At 36.4% G+C, this 18,987-nt stretch overlaps 1 long non-coding RNA gene across 1 annotated transcript in view; it reads left to right on the top strand.

The window, feature by feature from the left end:
• NREP-AS1 (NREP antisense RNA 1) overlaps positions 1-15,805 on the top strand; it is a 104,799-nt gene extending 88,994 nt beyond the window's left edge. The window contains exon 4 of the long non-coding RNA NR_046678.1: positions 15,639-15,805. This is a non-coding gene — a long non-coding RNA (NREP antisense RNA 1). The remainder of the gene's footprint in view (positions 1-15,638) is intronic.
• Positions 15,806-18,987: the final 3,182 nt, after the last annotated feature.

The following is an 18,987-nucleotide window of genomic DNA, read 5'->3' on the forward strand; positions in this document are numbered from 1 at the left end:
GGTACTGGGAGTTCGGACTTCAACATATGGATTTTTGAGGGAACATAATTCAGCCCATATATACATGCTATGTATTTTTGCTAAGATGTTTTTTGGAGTCTTTGTTTTAGTTTGTTTAAAGAGCTACAGTGAATGGAGGAGTAAAGCCTTTCCACTTAATTCAGAATATGTAAGTTCACCAGAACCCACATAACTGAATTAAATGTCAAGCAAGAGCCCAAAGTAGATGAAGGAAGAAATTCTACATATTCTTTACTAGAAAAGAAGCAGTGACAATTTGAAGGAGACACCTTGATCCATACATTTGGCCCTTACTACCTCATAGTAACAATAATACTATCCAAAGATAGAGATTCATCAACAAATTAGAGAAACACTTTTAATTGCAAAGTGAACAGATAAATTTAGGATTCTTTATGTTAAAATCAGAGTCAATTACGTATGAAACTTCTTTACTGGAAAACACGATAAAGTATTGTGATTATAATGATATGGGATATCAAATCAATGATATTGTTTATTCTCAATTTTTCAGTTTTCTGATATCTATATAGGCTGATTTTCATTATTAGAATAAGTTCGTTAATTGAAGTATTTGGCTTTTTTTGTTTTTAGGTTTGTCTTTTTTATTAAGAGGATATGAGTAGGAATATGAAAAATGTGAGATTTCCTGGGCTTTTTTTTACCCTTAGTGAAAAACCAGGCAGACCTGCCTGAATACCAGTGAAGACTAGCCTATCACTTCCTGCTAACATATTCCATTTCAAAATTTTCACCATGAAACATGTATGCATTTAAAATAAGAAGCTAAAGCAAATCTATTTCAGCAAGGCTTTTGACTTTAGATTTATACTCTCCCCTCCAGACATCATCAGCTCCCTGGAAATGCCACCAATGAGTCTAGGTTGAAAGAAGTCAAAAGCATTGATGTTTCTTGGCAAACACATATTCCTCCCTTCTGACTTTCAATCATAGCTTCAAAACACCATGGGATGATGCTAGGTTCTGCTTCACTTACCTTGGGATGTGGCCTGTTTTAGCTCTTGTGCTGGTGACTCACCAAATACATCTCTTTTATTAATTCTTATATCTATTACTATCAGTCAACACTGAGGCTGAAACAGCTTTTCCAAATGTCAGAAATAAACAGTGTTTTCCTGTAAGCTTGGAGGGGAAAAAATAGATGAGAGCATTGGATATGTAAAACCCTACACTCTATATAATTGGCTTAGAAAACTGTGTTTTTAAATCTGTCTTTTGAAAGTTGGAGCCTATTCTAAAGTTTTAATTGTCCCTACTCAGATTTTGGGGCCAAGATTTGCTTGCCCTATTTTCAGTTTTCTGGTATCTACACAGAAGTTGATTTTCATTATTAAGACAAGATTACTGGTTAAGGTGTTTGTGGGTTTAGGGGTTTTGCCTATGTGTTTGTTCATTTGTTTATTTGGAAGTGTTCCATTTACCATTTACTGATTTTTCCTTAAAAGCCTTCTATCTCTGCTCCTCATAGTTCATAACTATAGTTACTGCGTCTTCTCTTTAAGTGGGAAGGGATAAAGGGACTTGGCCTCTCTAAACACAGAGGCAAAATGTAAACAAACTTAAAGCCTCCTTTTGGTAGAAATTCTACAGAAACCTTCACATGTGTTCAGAGACATATAAAACTATTCATTGAAGTATTGTTTGAAGTAGCAACAAACAGAGAAACTATAATGTCTGTTGATGGAAGAGAATAAATAAACCATGGGTTATCAAATCAATGGAATACTATGCGGCAGTTCAAGAAAATGAGGTGGATCCATGGGTATGTAAGAGACATTTACCAGACATTTAGCCTAGAGACCCATTTCTTGCTTGCAGAGATGGAATATGTGGAGGGTTTAACATGCGTAGCTTGCCCATGTTTGGAGAGATGGAATATGTGGAGGGTTTAACATGTGTAGCTTGCCCATCCCTTATATATGTCCCTATGTGAGCCCAGAAAAAACATTTTTTATAACAAGGCCCTTAGATATTTGATGGAGATACCAGCATTTAGAATATTTAGAAACAAGTATTTGAATAGTGCCTGACACATAGTAAGTGCTCAAAAAATGTTCTCTATTTATATTGTCCATCTACACAGGCACCTACAGCATTAAATGGAATAATTTTACACTGGGGAATGTGAAACACACCCTTTGTACTACTGCTTGCTGGCTTTGAGCTAACACTAATTCCTGGGGACTGGGAATAGCTCTATAGTCTACGAATCAGATTAAGGGCATAGGGGATTCAGGTTTAAAATGGAATGTTAGCATCCTCATCAGTGGGCCCCGCTGGAATCAATTATGTGGTTATCTGTAATAACACACTCAGGAGCTGAAGAACTGATACCCTGAATCACAGAGCCTCCCGCCAATATAGGCTTCCTAATTCAAAGAGTAAAGAATATGGAAATAAGTAATAAATGATATACTCTGAAACATCTCTCCCTACCACAATATTTAACCAAAAGCCAAACTGCAACTCTGAGGACTGACCAGTGTCATATCAACAATGAAGACTGGAAATGCCGGGGACACATTCCCAGACCTCCCAGTGGATGCCTAAAACTGCAAATAGTACTGCATCCTATATACTATGTTCTTTTCCTATACATACATACCTCTGATTAAGTTAAATTTATAAATTAGGAATAGTAAGATATTAACAACAATGACTAATAACAAAATAGGACAATTATAACAATATACTATAATAAAAGTTACGTGAATGTGGTCTCATTTTCTCCCCAACCACCACCCCCCCCATATCTTATTGTACTGTGTTTACCTGTTTTAGTGGGTAACTGAAACCATGGAAAGCAAAACCACAGATAAAGGGGGACTACTGTATATGCACGGTTACTTCTATTTCATTGTCTTTTGATTCTCTACTTGGTTGATGAAAGAGCTAGACAGATCCTGGAGAGTACAGGTGGTGAACATCAGCTGTGAAGTAAACCTTTGCATAGAAGCACTCCATTATCAAATAAAAGTAGATTTAGGAATGAGGTTTGAACAAGCCTGAAAATCCAAGTAAATCAAAAAGGGAGATTTCTTATGCTTATTCTGGTCTAATTGCAAAGCTGCTGTATTGCAAGAACTGGATCTTGGGAGCCATTTCCATCAGACTGTGACTACCCTGGCCTGTTCAGAAAAACCATCCCTCTCAAGAAATAGAGGCATCACATGTCCCTAGACTGGTACAATTAGACCTTTGGTTTTAAAGACCCTTTGTTCTGCATCCAAGATCACCAGGCAGCTTCTGATTCCTAAGTTGCTTGACTTTGAGGAAAGAACAGGCTAATGATACAGATTTTATCCCTGAAATCATTGTACTTTTCCCATGGTTTCTAGCCATGATGAAGTCTCTAACGGAGGTTTGTCTCCAGGGGAAAGACTGTGGTGATCATGCTCTTGCATGTACTCCCAGGCCACATAGTAGTTATATTTTCCTTTGTTAATAAATTGTCATTTTTATGTTGACCTCAGTCATGCAAGTATTTTGGTAAGCATGAGTCAGATTCTCAGGGCCTGATCACTCCTGAGAAATGCAAATCTTTAGGGCTTCAAAAGAACCATATGTAGCCAGTATCTTTCTTAGATGACATGGCATATAGGAACACATGTCCCTTTGGACTCTTTTGGGATGTTTTCACTTCCTTCCTCTTTCCTTTGTACATTCATTCTGTGCCTGATGTTCCCATTTTTATTTCTTCACCACTATTTCATAATAATTTGATTTCTAGTTATCCTTCTATTCCTAGGTCTTCACTAGAGATACCAGGAGAGTTTTCTGGGAACCCATGGTTTTGCTGACACTGCTATTGTTGTCATTAGAGATCATGGTCATATGATGAACCTAGGCCAGGACCCAGTTTTTCCTTCTCTATCCAACTGTGTCTAGGAACAATTGATACTTGATGTCTACCCAGCTAGAAAACTGGCTTCTTTATGGGTTCCTGGTATTCTGTTTCCTGAGAGATACATATGCTTATTGGTGGCTTTCCTGAGAACGCCCTGCATTTGCCTATTGCCCAAACCTGCTGCCAAAGCCAATACTCTTTATTTCCTGAATCTTACTCAAATACATTAAGCTGGATTCAATAAAGCAGTTTTCTGCTGACCTGTCAAAAAACCAACCCCAGAAATGATTAAACTTTTCTCAAGTCCTCTTCCAAACAAGTACTGGACTGCCCAGAGATTTATCTTGGCAAAACTTGGACACAGCAAACCTGGGGCATGCTGGGTAGAAATCCCATCATTAATCCTCAAAGAAGTGACTGAATTTACTTGGCATTCACCTTTGGCCTTTGGTCAAACATGTAAGAATTTTTTCTTAGTGACAAAACAGAACTAAAGGCACTCAGAAGAGAAATGGAGAAATGGAGAGAGAAAAGAGGGAAGGAGAATGGAAGCATAAATAAAAATGTTTCTTTTGGCTTATGGATCAGACTGATGTGTTATAGGCAAATCCCAAATGCAGACTGAAATTTATTTTATATTGTATTATTTTGTAACTGGCTTTCTAAGAGTAAATTCCCCCAGGGGAACTGTTACATCCTAAGATTTTACAATGGAAGAGCATAGAAGTTTTAAAAATTGTTTTAAAAATTATTATTTCTCCAATTCATGAGTTAGCATCTGAATCATAATAGAATAAACGACTCACTCCAAAAAGAAAGATGCATTAGCATTCCTACATAAGGTTAGTATTTTTTAACTATTTTAAAATCAAGTAGTTGTGTCACCTAAAATAAAAGGTTTAGATTGGTTGCATTTTGAAAAGTCACTTTTTTTCAAAGCCACAGGGCTCTTATACTAGGGCAGTTAGTAAACAATCACATTTTCTCATATATCTAGTTTAGTCTGCTTAGAAGATGTCCCATTTCAAATACATGCTTCAATTAACTAATCACTTTTATATGGGGCACCCTATAACATCATTGCACATACATCTGAACTTGTACTAATATACATGATATAAAATTAATTAACATATAAGATTTTATTTTTCAAACCTCGTTTACAGGAAAAATTTGTCCTGCATCAATAAAACTAGTAACTTAATACACACACACACACCCCACTATAGAAGTATAAAAACAATAATGATGGTAGAATTTACATCTTTAGAAGCCACTAGTTCATTTTACATATGAAGAAACTGACAGAGAGAATTATAAGTTAGATGACATCTGATTTCAAGATAGTAAAGACATTTTTGCCCACTTCTTTTAAAAATCACTCTCAAAAGACATGGGTAACAAAAACTTTAACTTCTGTGCAACTAGGAGATCTCTATAACCCTGAGCCAAATATATGATTGCAGAAAGCATATGGGGAAATGGTAAATGACTCATCAGGAAGATAAAACCTACTGGCATGACATCAATGAGAAGCAAGCCAATCTGATCCTCAGAACCCTGGAAATTCTCAGGAAATGGAGATGGCAGTCATTATTTAAGCCAGTTTGAAAGTCCATATAGGGAGCAGTGAAAACTTCAGGTCCCTGTCTCTACAGCTGGGCAACCATACCTCTCCCATCTCACCCAACTACTAACCCAGTGCCTGAATGGGACATCAAGCACAGAGGAGGCTGGGGCACAGTGCTTTACTGAAAACTGGAGATTCAATTTTATCTGCATAAAAAAAACAATAAAATCCCTAAGCCCCTCTGCCTGCCCAGAGTCAATATGCTAAAAGCCATCACTGCACCCCACAGGAAGGAAGTTGGAAAATCCTTTTTCTGAGGATCGTTCCAGAATAAAAATCAACAGAAACTCATATTTGGAGGGAAAAGACTGCTAGCCATCTTGATAATATCCATCAGTCTATATGTCCCATCCAAACACACTGATTCCAATCAGTATTTTACTGCTTCTCTTTGAAATATAAATAGATAGGCAAGGGTAATCAGACATTTGAGAAATGTGAAAAATGGAGATAAGATCTGCCTTGCTGGGCTTTGTAATAATTACATGAATTTATAAATTCACAGCATCTGGCAGAGTGAAGGTACCTGTAATGCATCCATGGAATTCTTATATAATATAGAATTAAAATTATATGTATTTTCCCCTCTGAAAATAAATTAATATTCTTCTTCACAATATGTCTTTAAGGATAGCATCGGAGCATTTAGCTGTTTGCTGCTGCCCTTGTTGCAGTTGTTTTTTAATAAAGAGGAAGGACTTGGCAGTTTCATGAGGGAAGCTTAAAGCAATAGATGCTATAAAACCTGGAACATTTATTATCTGTAATGCACATTCATGGGTAGTTACACATTTAGCAACACAAAGAAACTAAAAGTCTTTAAAGGCACATTCTTCTTTAGAGGTGTTTCCATTATAACCCCTCCTGTCTATCTGAAGCTTCTCAAAAGAGTCCCTGGGTCAATATAAATAGGTTGCAAACCAGATAATACCTTATTATATGAATTAACAGTATATTTGCTCTGTAATACTGAAAAAAGGAACTGTCTCATAATACAATTAGAGAAAACACAGTAAACCATATTTCTAAATAGACTATCTGATCACCAATGTTCTTTTCCCTATTACCAACTCCAGCAGTTTCTAACAGTTCTACGCCTCACACAGGGATCTTTGCTGTGGATACTTGTGAGGCTGCTCACTGGTTATTCCCTCTTCCTTGAATAACACGGCCCAGATGATACTTTTGCCAACTCTCAAACCAAGTGGTTCAGATACAATCAATTCCATCCCTAGGTCTAGGGGTGAACATTTGATCTTTAAGAGTCAATCAGAACATCATTTCCCTATCCGCAAGCACAACAATTCATTAAGCAAAGAGCGCATGACCACATCAGAGATGGTTCCAGACCTTTGGCTATAGACACTAAGTGAGAATTTCTTTCCTTTCTGTTGTGCTTGAATTTGGGAAGACACAAGTCTGCGCTGCTAGGGGACAGCCCAAGGAGAAAGCTCACCTGAGAAGGAAGCCAAATTCTGAAGGGATGTAGCACCAAGATAAAAAGGGTGATTTCATTCTCATTATATCTGTCAACTGGATCTGGCAGTGCTAAAAACAAGAAATACCCTAGACTTCAGAAACATGATCCAATGAGTTCCCTTTCTTGCTTAAGCTAGTTTAGATTAGGTTTTCTTTTCTTTTCTTTTTTTTTTTCTTTTGAGACACAGTCTTGCTCTGTCGCCCAGGCTGGAGTGCAATGGTGTGATCTCGGCTCACTGCAACCTCTGCCTCCGGGTTCAAGTGCTTCTCCTGCCTCAGCCTCCCAAGTAGCCCAGCTTTTTTTTTTTTTTTTTTTTTTTTTTTTTTTTAGTATTTTTACTAGAGACAGTGTCACCATGTTGGCCAGGCTGGTCTTAAACTCCTGACCTCAGGTGATCCGCCCACCTCGGCCTCCCAAAGTGCTGGGATTAGGGGTGTGAGCCACTGCGCCCAGCCCTAGATTGGGTTTTCTATCAAACTACAATAACTGCATCTAATACAACCATGAATTTTTACATAAGTATATTCAAAATAAAACTTTTTAGTATAGTTTCCTCATCAAGTAGGCTAAACCTTCCCCACATATCTCTCACATCTAAATATTTTTCACATCTAAATAGTCTTTCAGCATAAATACAAATCACATTAATAGAGCTGAAAAGTTCTTTATAATCTTTGATTCCCTAACATCAAGTATAATTAATGCAAAGTAAGAAGCGCTTAATGTTTATTGACTGATTTGAAAGTGACAGGCTGAATAAGCAAAAAAATCTCTCACCTTGTCTAACATCAAGCCATGCAGTATAGATTCTCTGTATAGATAATCATTAATCCTAATTTAATTATTTCCAGGAATGGATGGAAACTCTCAATCTCCTTCAATGGAAAGAAAAATATTCAATTAGCTTGTCTAATCCTAATACCAAGTATCTACAATATTCTTAGCACTTGGTTAGAGACTGAAAAAAAACAGTTAAAACTGACATGGCTCTTGCTACCTAGGAACTTATCAGCTAATATGGACAACATATGGGAACAGTTCTAATGGAAATACGGATACATGTATATAAATAAATATATACAAATAATATATAATAAATAACATAATATATAAATAATACATATAATATATATATGAACGTGTACTCGTGGAGCAAGGAACATTATTGTCATCTGCCCAAGCCTCCCAACCTGTAAAAGCATTCTTCAGATGTATCTGTGACAGATAAGTACCCTCTGCATTTGAATACTTGCAGGCACAGAGACCTCACCTCCTCTTAAGGCAGGCCAGAGCACTACTGACAGGGTCACACATCTAGGAATTTTGTCTATATATTAAAACGGTGATTCTGTCCTTTTTGGGCATGATGATACTCCACATAAACTATAGGTCCCTTTCCTTATAAGAGCTTTTCATGTCTGAGGACACAGATCTCACTTGCTTATGAGTATTCTCTTTAAGCTAAGCAAAATTATTTACATAATACTGAATCTCTTCACAATTTTCTAAATATATATTAATTTATTATACAATAATAATGGAAATCATTTATTAAGCAATTGTTCTATGCCATGTATTGTGCTAAGTTCTTTATATACATTACACTTTCTTAAATTCCTCATAACAACTGTTTATGGTACAACAGAAGATAATTTATCTGAGAGTTTAAATACTATAAGCATTCGAATCACTTATTTTTCGTTTTTTAAAAGAAGGCTTTTTATGATTAGACATGTTTAGTCACACCACATAATAGGAGAAGATCAGTTTGTTACAATATGCTGTGCTAAGAGATGGTGTGATCTCCAAGGCTGCAAATGACAGGCAGGTGACGACAAAATGGACAATGTGGTGCTGATTATAAAGAATCATTAGAAAATGATTCTAATGAGGCTCTTTGATGTTGTAAACTTTTTATGAATCCATGGAAATATTAGCATGCTTATATGCTTATGAATATGACACAGTAGAGAGGAAAAAACATGACTGTAAGGAATGCTGTAATTGCTGGGATGATATTCTTGTGAAAATGAGAGAAGTGGGATCCAGTATATAATGGTGGCTATGTGCTGGGTCAAAAGACAATTCATCTCTCTAAAAAATGAAGGAAGGCAAAGTATGTGGGTGCACAGGAAGTGTTGATGATGTGGAAATTCTCATCAGATTGCTTACATTACTTCAGTGAACAGGAAGAATGGTCGTCTCCTGAGAGCAAGAATGAGGAGGTGGTGATAGCATTTGGAGAGACAGGGAAAAGTCTAAAATGGCCATCTGAGTGAGTTGGTGAGAAAATGGATTAGGGATGTAGACAATGATTGCTGGCTGTGCTAGGAGCCCACTTCATGTGGGCGGTCATGAATTGAAAGTGCGGCAAGTCAGCATGGTGGTGGGCTTATCCCCAGCCATGTTTATCCATGATGTAAGTAAAGAATTGTATTTATCCAGAGTTATACATGTGTCAAAGACAAATCCAGAGAGGCACAAAACAGTGATTATAAGGATAAAGCATGAAATTAAGCTTGGTGAACAAGTGATGGAATAGCAAGGGGATAAGAGACAATAAAAGATGGTAGGATCAATGAAGGAGATATACTAATCTTTTTAATTGGACCCATTTTTTAAAGCACTTATTCTCTCAGAATCTTAATTTTGTTATTTGTCACGTTATGTATTTTTGTGTCATGTAAAAATAATGATAAATATAGCATTAATCCACTCATCCATTCACCTATTCAACAAAATTTTACTGATGGATACTAAGTGCCAGATGCTGTGGGATATAAAGTTAAATAAAACTTGACCTCAAGGACATTATAGTCTAGCAAAGAAAACAGGTAAATGAGGAACCACAGTACAGTGTGGTAAGCACCATGAAAAACTCTCTAGGAGTACAGAGCAAAGACCTCTAAATCAGACTTGAGGGTGACAGAAGACTTCCATTAAGAGGGGACACTGGAATGGGGTTTTGAAGATCAAATAGGACTTAGTCAACAAGAGAATGAAAAAGGGCTTTCCACGGTCCATCCAAAGTATGAATCAAAATGGTTACTAGGGTTGGGGTAAGACTAGAAGCTTGTGACATACCCCTAAAGACCACCTCCTAAATTATATAATTTTACTGAGTAGCTACAACTGTCCTACCAGACATCCCGTTTCACACCGATCTGTTTTTCTCCATCTTGTCCATGAAGCCATCTCAAGCAAGTACTTCAAATGCCTTGCCAGAATCAAAACGCCCTATCTAGTTTCTCAGACTTCCCAATCAGGGAACCTATTTAAAGGAGAAATTGGTTTGCCATTTGTTCCTAGAAAATTTAGACAGACCCTTATAATTCGTCACTGAATTTTATCCTAAGTGCTAACAAACCACTTGTTTAATAATCTGGTACAGGATTTTGCCACTAACTGACATCAGACTTATGAATCTGTAACTTGCATGTTTCTAAAGGATGAAATCAGGCTGGGGATCAATATCTCTTTCTGAAAATATTTGAAGGATATGACAGTGTTTGAGAATCACTTTTGTGCTAAGGGAATTGAGAGGGAGAAAGTATTGCCTAAGACAAAGGTTGAAGATAAATAGGGCAAGATAAATGGAAGAAGGAGTCAGTGCAGTGCCCTGGAGAAATGGAGTGATATTTAAGAGGTTTGCATTCAATTCACAGAGAGGAATAATCCAGGTCACCCAGGGTAAAGTCCTTAGAAATCAAAGACAATGTCTTGATTCTGACATCTGGTAAACGGCTCTCTCATAGCTTGAGATAAAAGCCAGACTTACTTGGGGAAACTTGGAAACCTTTTTTAAATAAAACAAAGGAAATTATTTTCTATGACATCACACCAACTCTGCCAACTCCCAGTTTGCAAATGCTTGTCACAATGTTTACAATTAAAAATTCAAATACACAAAGTCCTTGGTTCCACTGCAGTTTAGGAAGGCTGCCAAGAATCTGGGATAATTCCTTCAAGGGAAAAGAAAAAAACCAAACAAACATCAAATTGATGACAAAGAATTACAGCTCAACCCATATAATAGACAATAGAGGGTTAAAGAAATTTCATTAAATGGGTCAGCCCAGGGCCTATCTGATATCAAGGAACTAATTGCCTTTTTTCTCATAATTGTAAAAGTTTATTCCCAAGTTTTGTTTTAGTTGACTTCCTTAGTGCCTACATTAACTTTTCAATCTTAAAATCAAAATACAGACTTAATACTACTTTCATCAAGGTTAAAAGCAATGCCCAACCAAGGATGAGACATGGCCAAGAGAAAAACTACTTTTGATTATCTTCTGGTTAAATCTTATCTAAAAAAAATTTTTTTTAGGCAATGCTTGAGTAAAGTATCTCATGAACAGAAAACTGAATTCTCTGTTCAATTTTTGCTAAAGAAGCAGGAGGTAGAAACTAGAAATCCTAAAATTGCCAAATTTAAAACAGTCTTACTGATTAAATTTCTTCTCAACTTAATATTAAGAACAATTTATTATTATGCCAACAGCAGCTAGCCCTGAAAATAAATATGTTTTCTTTAGGGAAGGCAGCTAAGGCAACTAAAACAATATGCCAATTGTTTCAGGTTAGAAATATCATTGAAATATTATCTATTTCAACATAACAATCTTTTTTTAACCAGCATTATCTATGAAACAGCAACCCAATGTCAGGACTAATTATAGAGATGGATATTTTATTCTATAAATGGGTGTTGTTCCCTATATTGTGTTATATGCCCCGAACAGACAACCAGGCACAAAAGCAAATAATTTTGAAAAATGAGCAAAGGAATAGGTTATATTGCAATGAAATTAACTATATGCTAAATGAATCTGACATTTAATGATGATCATTGTTGTGGTACATAGCAATTATACCTAATTGCCAATTTACATATTTGTTGTAACTAATATTTTAACAATTTTTTTTCCTCTTTACTTCTCGGCATCTACTGTCAATGCTGCTTGACAGTTTTCCTCACTCCATGATAAATTTTAATTCTTATTACTTTATTTCTCTCATACAAGTTAAAACAAGATTCTTTGCTGACACCTCAGAGTTAGGCCCAGGGCTCCTGTCTGTGCCCTGCCAGTGACTAACCCACCCTGGACCAAGACAGTAGTCCTTCAAGTGCCATTTTAACTGCTGTCCCTCCCTTCAGAACCATGGAAGTCCTGATGTCTGAGGCACCAAGAGAATGAAAATGTAGGTTATAGGTCTGCATAGGAGGAGCTGGGGATCTGACAAGTACATGCTGGAAGTAGAATACAGTGAAGTGCTGAGGGGAGCAGGTCAACCTAGGCTGGACAAAAAGGTGGAGAGATAAGTCTGTGAGCTTGCACTCTGATACCTTCAGAGAAAACACAAAGCTGCTTGCTTTTGGCTTTTTCCTGTTTACTTTCTCCCTGACATTTAACCTTCATACTGCATGGATGACTTACAAAGGAGGGATAGTTCAGCTCCAAGTTATTCCATAGGCATCTTTCTTATCTTATGAATTGCTTCCCACTAGGACTTACACAATGCCTCATATACTGTGGGGACTCAATAAATAATTACCAAATGTACTATTTTTAATCATTTTAAAATAAATGGCTCTGTATTAGATGTATCGTGCTCACTAGAACCAGGTTACTGACTGACTTCACTGATTGAAGGTTACTGAATTGTTGATCCATAAACCCTCCAGGCATCTAGGGCATTGCAGGAAGTGCTTCCGCTCAAGTTTCAGTTCCAGGTTGTTATCCAGCGTTCTAGGTCCAAAACAGGTAGAAATCTATTTTCTGCCACAAATCTACATTTTGTCTTAAATAACTGTGTGAATTTAATCCTAGCTGCTTGATCTGAGGGTAGACAATTACACTACTTCAGTTGTCTCATCTTTAAGAAGAGGGGATTATTCACTTAACTAAATTTTATTAAATGGTTTCCTCCTGGAAAGAATGTAGTAGGCACTTCTATGGAGGAGAAACATGGGAGTCTGGTGCCTGTTATTTTCCTTAGGGGCTGTGATCATCCAAAACAGGTAGTAATCTATCATAGTGTAGACATTTGCAAGGAAGGGTATTTAGAAACATCTCTTAATAAACAATGTTAACAGTCAAAGCAATTCTTCCCCTCCACTTTCTTTTCCTTAAATCTTTGCTGGGTCTTAACAAGGACACTGATAAACCACCTTACATTCCCTAGAGTTAGAAAGCTTTTTTTTATTTCTGATCTAAATCCAGGCTGCTATTGCTTAAATCCATTTTCTCTTATTCTATTCTCTTGGAAGACAGAGAAAAATCATTCATCCTCCTCTATATTATAGTCCTTCATGTATTAAAGATTTCAGCCTTCATTTCTCCAGGTTACATAATGCCAATTCCTTTCATTTTACTCATATATCTTATTTTCCAAGCTTTTAAATTAATTCCATTGCACTCCTCTTGGACTCTATGGATAATGAAATAGTTATGCAGCTCCTTTCAGATACTAATTGGGTAATAAACCTTCAGGGAGGGAAGTATTTTTAAATCTTAAATCAGAATCTCACATGATCTGAGATTTAAAACATTTCTGGAGAGCAGAAGGAGGTTGGAAAATGCACATAAAATTGGCACAGAAAGCATGGGAAGAAATGGGAAAGTACCATTTGGATATTATTGTTTTATAAAAAGGAAAGCTGAAGCATGTGTTACAGCAAATAAGTAAAAGATACATGAGTAAAGTCACAATTAAAATAAGCAGCTGCAATTCCTGGTTCCCTACCAAATTGCTGTCAAGTGATTGTGATATCTGATCATAACAATCTTGACTGAAGCTTAAAAAATAAATCACACTATCACAGTTTAATTGGGCAGTGGAAGTTCACCATTCACTGTGTTAATATTATTTTGCTAGAAAATCTTCCAGTTCTCTTTTTTTCTGTTTCCAACTCAGCTTAATAGAACAGTCCTGCTCCACTGATGTGTTCTCCAGAGGGAATCAAACAAAACCTCTGAGACTGTTAATGTATTAGATCTCATGTGATATCTAAAATCAATTACTATGTATATAAAACATTATTTTCATAAATATCCATCAACCAACACATAGATATATCTATACAATGGAATATTATTTGGCCATGCAAACGAAGTACAGTCAACCCTCTGTATCCACAGGTTTCACATCCATAGATACGACCAACCACAGATCAAAAATATTTAGGGAAAAAATAAAAGAACAATAAAAATAATACACATTCTTAAAATACATTTTAACTACTATTTGCATAGCATTTATATTGTATTAGCTATCATAAGTAATCTAGAGATGATTTAAAGTATACAGGAAGACATAAGTTATATGCAAATATTGTGCCATTGTATATAATGGACTTGAGCACACGTGAATTTTGGTATGTGGGGGTGTGTCCTGTGACCAATCCCCCACAGATACCAAGTGATGACTGTATTAATATGCTACAGCATGGATAAACCTTGCAAACGTGATGCTAAATAAGCTAGATACAAAAAGCCAAATACTATATGATTCCATTTGTATGAAATGTCTGGAATGGGTAAATCCATAGAGACAGAAGCAGATTAGTGTTTGCCAAGGGATTGGAGGAAGAGGGACGAGGATCAACTGCTTAATAGGGACAGGATTTCTATTTGGGGTGATGATGAACTACTGAAACTGCATAGTGGCAATCATTGTACAACAGTTGTGAATGTAATAAAAGCATGGGAATAAATGGGAAAGTACCATTTGGACATTATCGTTTTATAAAAAGGAAAGCGGAAGCATGTGTTACAGCAAATAAGTAAATAAGTAAAAACTGTTAAAACGATAAATTTTATGTCATTTGTATTTTATCACAATAAGGAAAATATTACTTGTATTCTCTGGTACTGTATGTACTAATGCAAAATGAAGCCAAGATAAAATAAGACACCACAGTGGTTGACTCTCTTGCAAGTCGGTAATCAGTTGGTTGAGTATTCACTGACAGCCTACTCAGAGCAATGTACTGGGCTAGGTCCTGAGACACAGCAGCAGAGACAGATATGGCTTCTGCCTTGGAAGAGCAGGCAGTTTAACAGGGCATCCATTCTTCTACTTATTCTGTCCTACCAGTGCTATGTTTGCTCTTAGAGGAAAAATAAGAGGAATAAGTAATGCGTGAGCTTTATCAATCCATCATATATATATGTATATAATATACATGATTATATATCTGTAATGAAAATAACCAAAAACAAGTCAAATAGCTGCTTAAATACATAAGAATTCATCTCAGGATTCTAAAATAAGGATTGGCAAATTTACACTTAAATTAACACTTAACCATAATATTATTAGATGCCTAAAAAAAGAGATCGTTTACCTGCACCTCAATTCACAGAAAGGGATCCTTTCGGTATTATACAGTGTTTAACATAAAGAACAAAACACACGAAATAGTTTGGATTATCCAGATTACTGTTCAGTAAATACTTACTCCTCCTACCCTTCACCACCCCTCTGTGGGCATGGCGTATTTCCCTGTCCCATGGATTTGGGGTTCCGGCACATACTGACTTTAGCCAATGGAACCTTAGAGGATGATAGGCATAGAGGCCTTAAACTTGTTTGCACAGTTAAGTTTGGCTCTTGTGTTCTCGCTCTTTACACAGGAACTGCTGAGTAGACGTACTGGTCCAAGAACAGTGAAAGACATGTAAAGCAGATGTAACCCCAAACAACAGCTGAAGAAGAGTTGCCCAACTCCGCCAGCCTAGATCAAACTGCAGTCAAATGTACACCCTTGAGCATGGGAATAAATTCATGTTTTTGTAAATCATGAAGTTTTGGAGGTTATAGAGCATTATTTTGGTAATAGCTTATTATTAATACAGCCCATACACTGAAATAAACCCCAGAATTATTTCACAATGTATGATTTTTAAAACACACTTAGAAAGCTAACCATCAATAAATTAATTTTCCCAACTCAGTTATAGATTTAGTATTAAAAATGATTAACTATATAAAATAAAAATTTAAACTAAGTAGCCTAACTTGTATCTATTAGCAGTATAACTGGTAAAATCTGCAAGGATGTATTACTTGGAAGTTAAGAAATATAAAAACTATTTGCTGAATACATGCTAATATAATCAGGTTCCAATAAACATCTTGATGAAAGCAAATTAATCACTAATCTGACATTTTCTTTTGGCAAATTAGCAAGATTAGGTTTCACATTAAATGAAAATGTGTGTGTAAGGACTTAACAACTGAAAGAATATAATTCAATTAAATATCCTCCCAGTATTCTTCCATTTCAGACATTTCTATGCCTAATTTTCATGTTTTCAGATCTCAGGCAGGGCTTGTAAAGCAGTGTCATCTTTCTTGTGAGATTTTCTTTACAGAATAGCCAAGACGTTTGTAGGGAAAGCATTTGGCACATTCAGAAACCTTATGATGTTATTCTTTTAACCTGTGTCCCTCCATTGGTCTAGCTGGAAAATTAAAAACACTACACTTGGTTCTCACAGTGAATATTAAGAAGGTGTTTATTTTTTTTCAAGTGAGCCTCTTAAAGAAACATAACTCAGTTTTAATTTTTTATTGAGATCCAGGATCTTTTCCTAACAAAATGCTGGTTTATTAGATAAACAGTGTTTACAAACTATAACAGAGCTTCTAATGGAAGTAAATTTTACTCCCATTGGATGCTCTCTGCCACTAATAAAAAAAATATTTCAAAATAATACACAAAGAAGAAAATGAAACAATGTTCATTAAGAAACACAGTCCACAAAAAGAAATTTAATCTTTATGAGAGTTAGGAGTAATGCTTGACAATAGATGAATAATACAGGTGACCAAATAGACATAGTATTCTATTTTCTTGAGATGGCTGATAGTTAAAAATGACAGTGAAAAAACAAAATATATCCCTAAACAACAACAAAAGGAGATGTGGCAATCAAGAGAAACCCCAGAGGCAGGTCTCCAAAGTAAAGCCACTACATGTGTCTTTTGGCTAACTTAAGGTAGAGCTATGAAAACCATTTCTTGTGTGTTCATGCATTGTAAGGCAGTAGATCTTGTGATCAGGAAGAAAACTTAGAGAAAGCAAAGAAAGACAGTATTTGTGGAAGGCTATAAATTTTCCTGTCATAAAAATTGATAGATATAATATGTTCCTATGTTAATTCAGAATTGCAGTGGAACTCCTAAATAAATCAAAAAACTAGAAAATTTTTAATCTCTAATAACCATAAGACCAAGTAAATTTCAAGTCTAAATTATTTTAAAGTTTAAATGACTCCCAAGACACCTTAAAAGTTTTCCATCTTTGTGGTAGGCAAAATTCTAAGACAGCCCCCCAAGATTTCTGGCATCTTGTATACATACATCTTCTCCCAGTTATTCAATCAAATACTAGTGCCTCTGTGAACGAATTTTGTACTTGTATCATAATTACAGACCCAAATCGGTTGACCTTAAGTTAGCACTCAACTATAAGTGAGCCAGGCTTAATAACATAAGCCCTTTAAAAGCAGAGAATTTTCTCCCTGTGGTTTCAGGAGAGGAAGTTAAGAGAGTTTCAAGGTGCAAGTGAGATTTAATGAGGGGAAAATTCCCCATTGCAGACTATACATTTGCTATTGAACTGTAAGCAATTATGACAAATTTGGTGGTTTAAAACAATGTAAATGTATTCTGTCACAGATCTGGAGGTCAGAAATCCACAATTAGTCTTAAGGGGCTAAAATTCAGGTGTCAGCAGGGTTGGTTCCTTCTGGAAGCAGCAGGGGACAATCTGTTCCTTGATCTTCCAGCTCCAGAAGCTTCAGCACTCCATGGCTCTTAGCTGTATTGCAGCAATCTCTGCTTTCATTGTCGTATTGCCTTCTCCCATAAAAGGACCCTTGCGGCTACATCAGCCTCATCCAGATAATCCAGGATAATCTCCCATGTCAAAAATCTTAATTATCACACCTGCAAAAATCCTCTTTGCCATATAAGTTATCACATTCAGAGGTTGCAGGGATTAGGACATGGAGATCTTTTGAGTGAGGCATTATTCAGCCTACCACACTGGCTTTGAAGATGAAAGAAGTTACATGACATGATGGTGAATTTATGTGTCAACTTGACTGGGCCACCAGGTGTCTAGGTATTTGGTTAAAAATTACCCTGGGTGTGTCTGTAAGGATGTTTCTTGATGACTCCAAAGACACTTTAAAAGTTTGAATCCTTTAAATCAATAGACTGAGTAAAGCAGCCTACAGTCCTCAATGTGGGTGGGCCTGTTCCAATCCATTGGAGGTCTGAATTGAGCAGAAGGCAGAATAAAGTAGAATTCACTCTTTCTGCCTGTTTTCACTCTGGGCCATCAGTCTTCTGCACTCAGACTAGAACTTGTAACACCAGCTCTTGTGGGTATTCAGTCTCCAGCTTGCACACGGCAGATCATGGGCCTTCTCAGCCTCTATAATCACGTGAGCCAATTCCTTATAATAAATAAATATTAACAAATATTCAAGTAATATAAATATAAATATCTTATTGGTTCTGTTCCTCTGGAGAACCCTGACTAACACATGTGGTAGAGAATGTGGGTGGCCTATAGGGGCTGAAAGCAGCATTCAACTAACAGCCAGCACAAAGCAGACAAACCTCAGCCCTACAACTACAAAGAACTGAATTTTTCCAACAACAAAAAAATGAATTTAGGCCAGATGCAGTGGCTCATATCTGTTATCTTAGTACTTTGGGAAGCCAAGGAGGGAGGATCACTTGAGCCCAGGAGTTCGAGAAAAGCCTGGGCAACAGAGTGAGAGACCCATTTCTATAAAAAAAATATAAAACTTAGTTGTGTATAGTGGTGGCATTCACTATGGTCTCAGCTATGTGGAAGCTGAAGCAGGAGGACTGCTTGAACCCAGGAGGTTGAGGCTGCAGTGAGCAGATATTCTCACCACTACACTCCAACCTGGGCAACAGAGCAAGAACACGTCTCAGAAA

Source organism: Homo sapiens, chromosome 5 (assembly GCF_000001405.40).
Source record: "Homo sapiens chromosome 5, GRCh38.p14 Primary Assembly".
In the NCBI taxonomy this organism is placed as follows: Eukaryota; Metazoa; Chordata; class Mammalia; order Primates; family Hominidae; genus Homo; species Homo sapiens.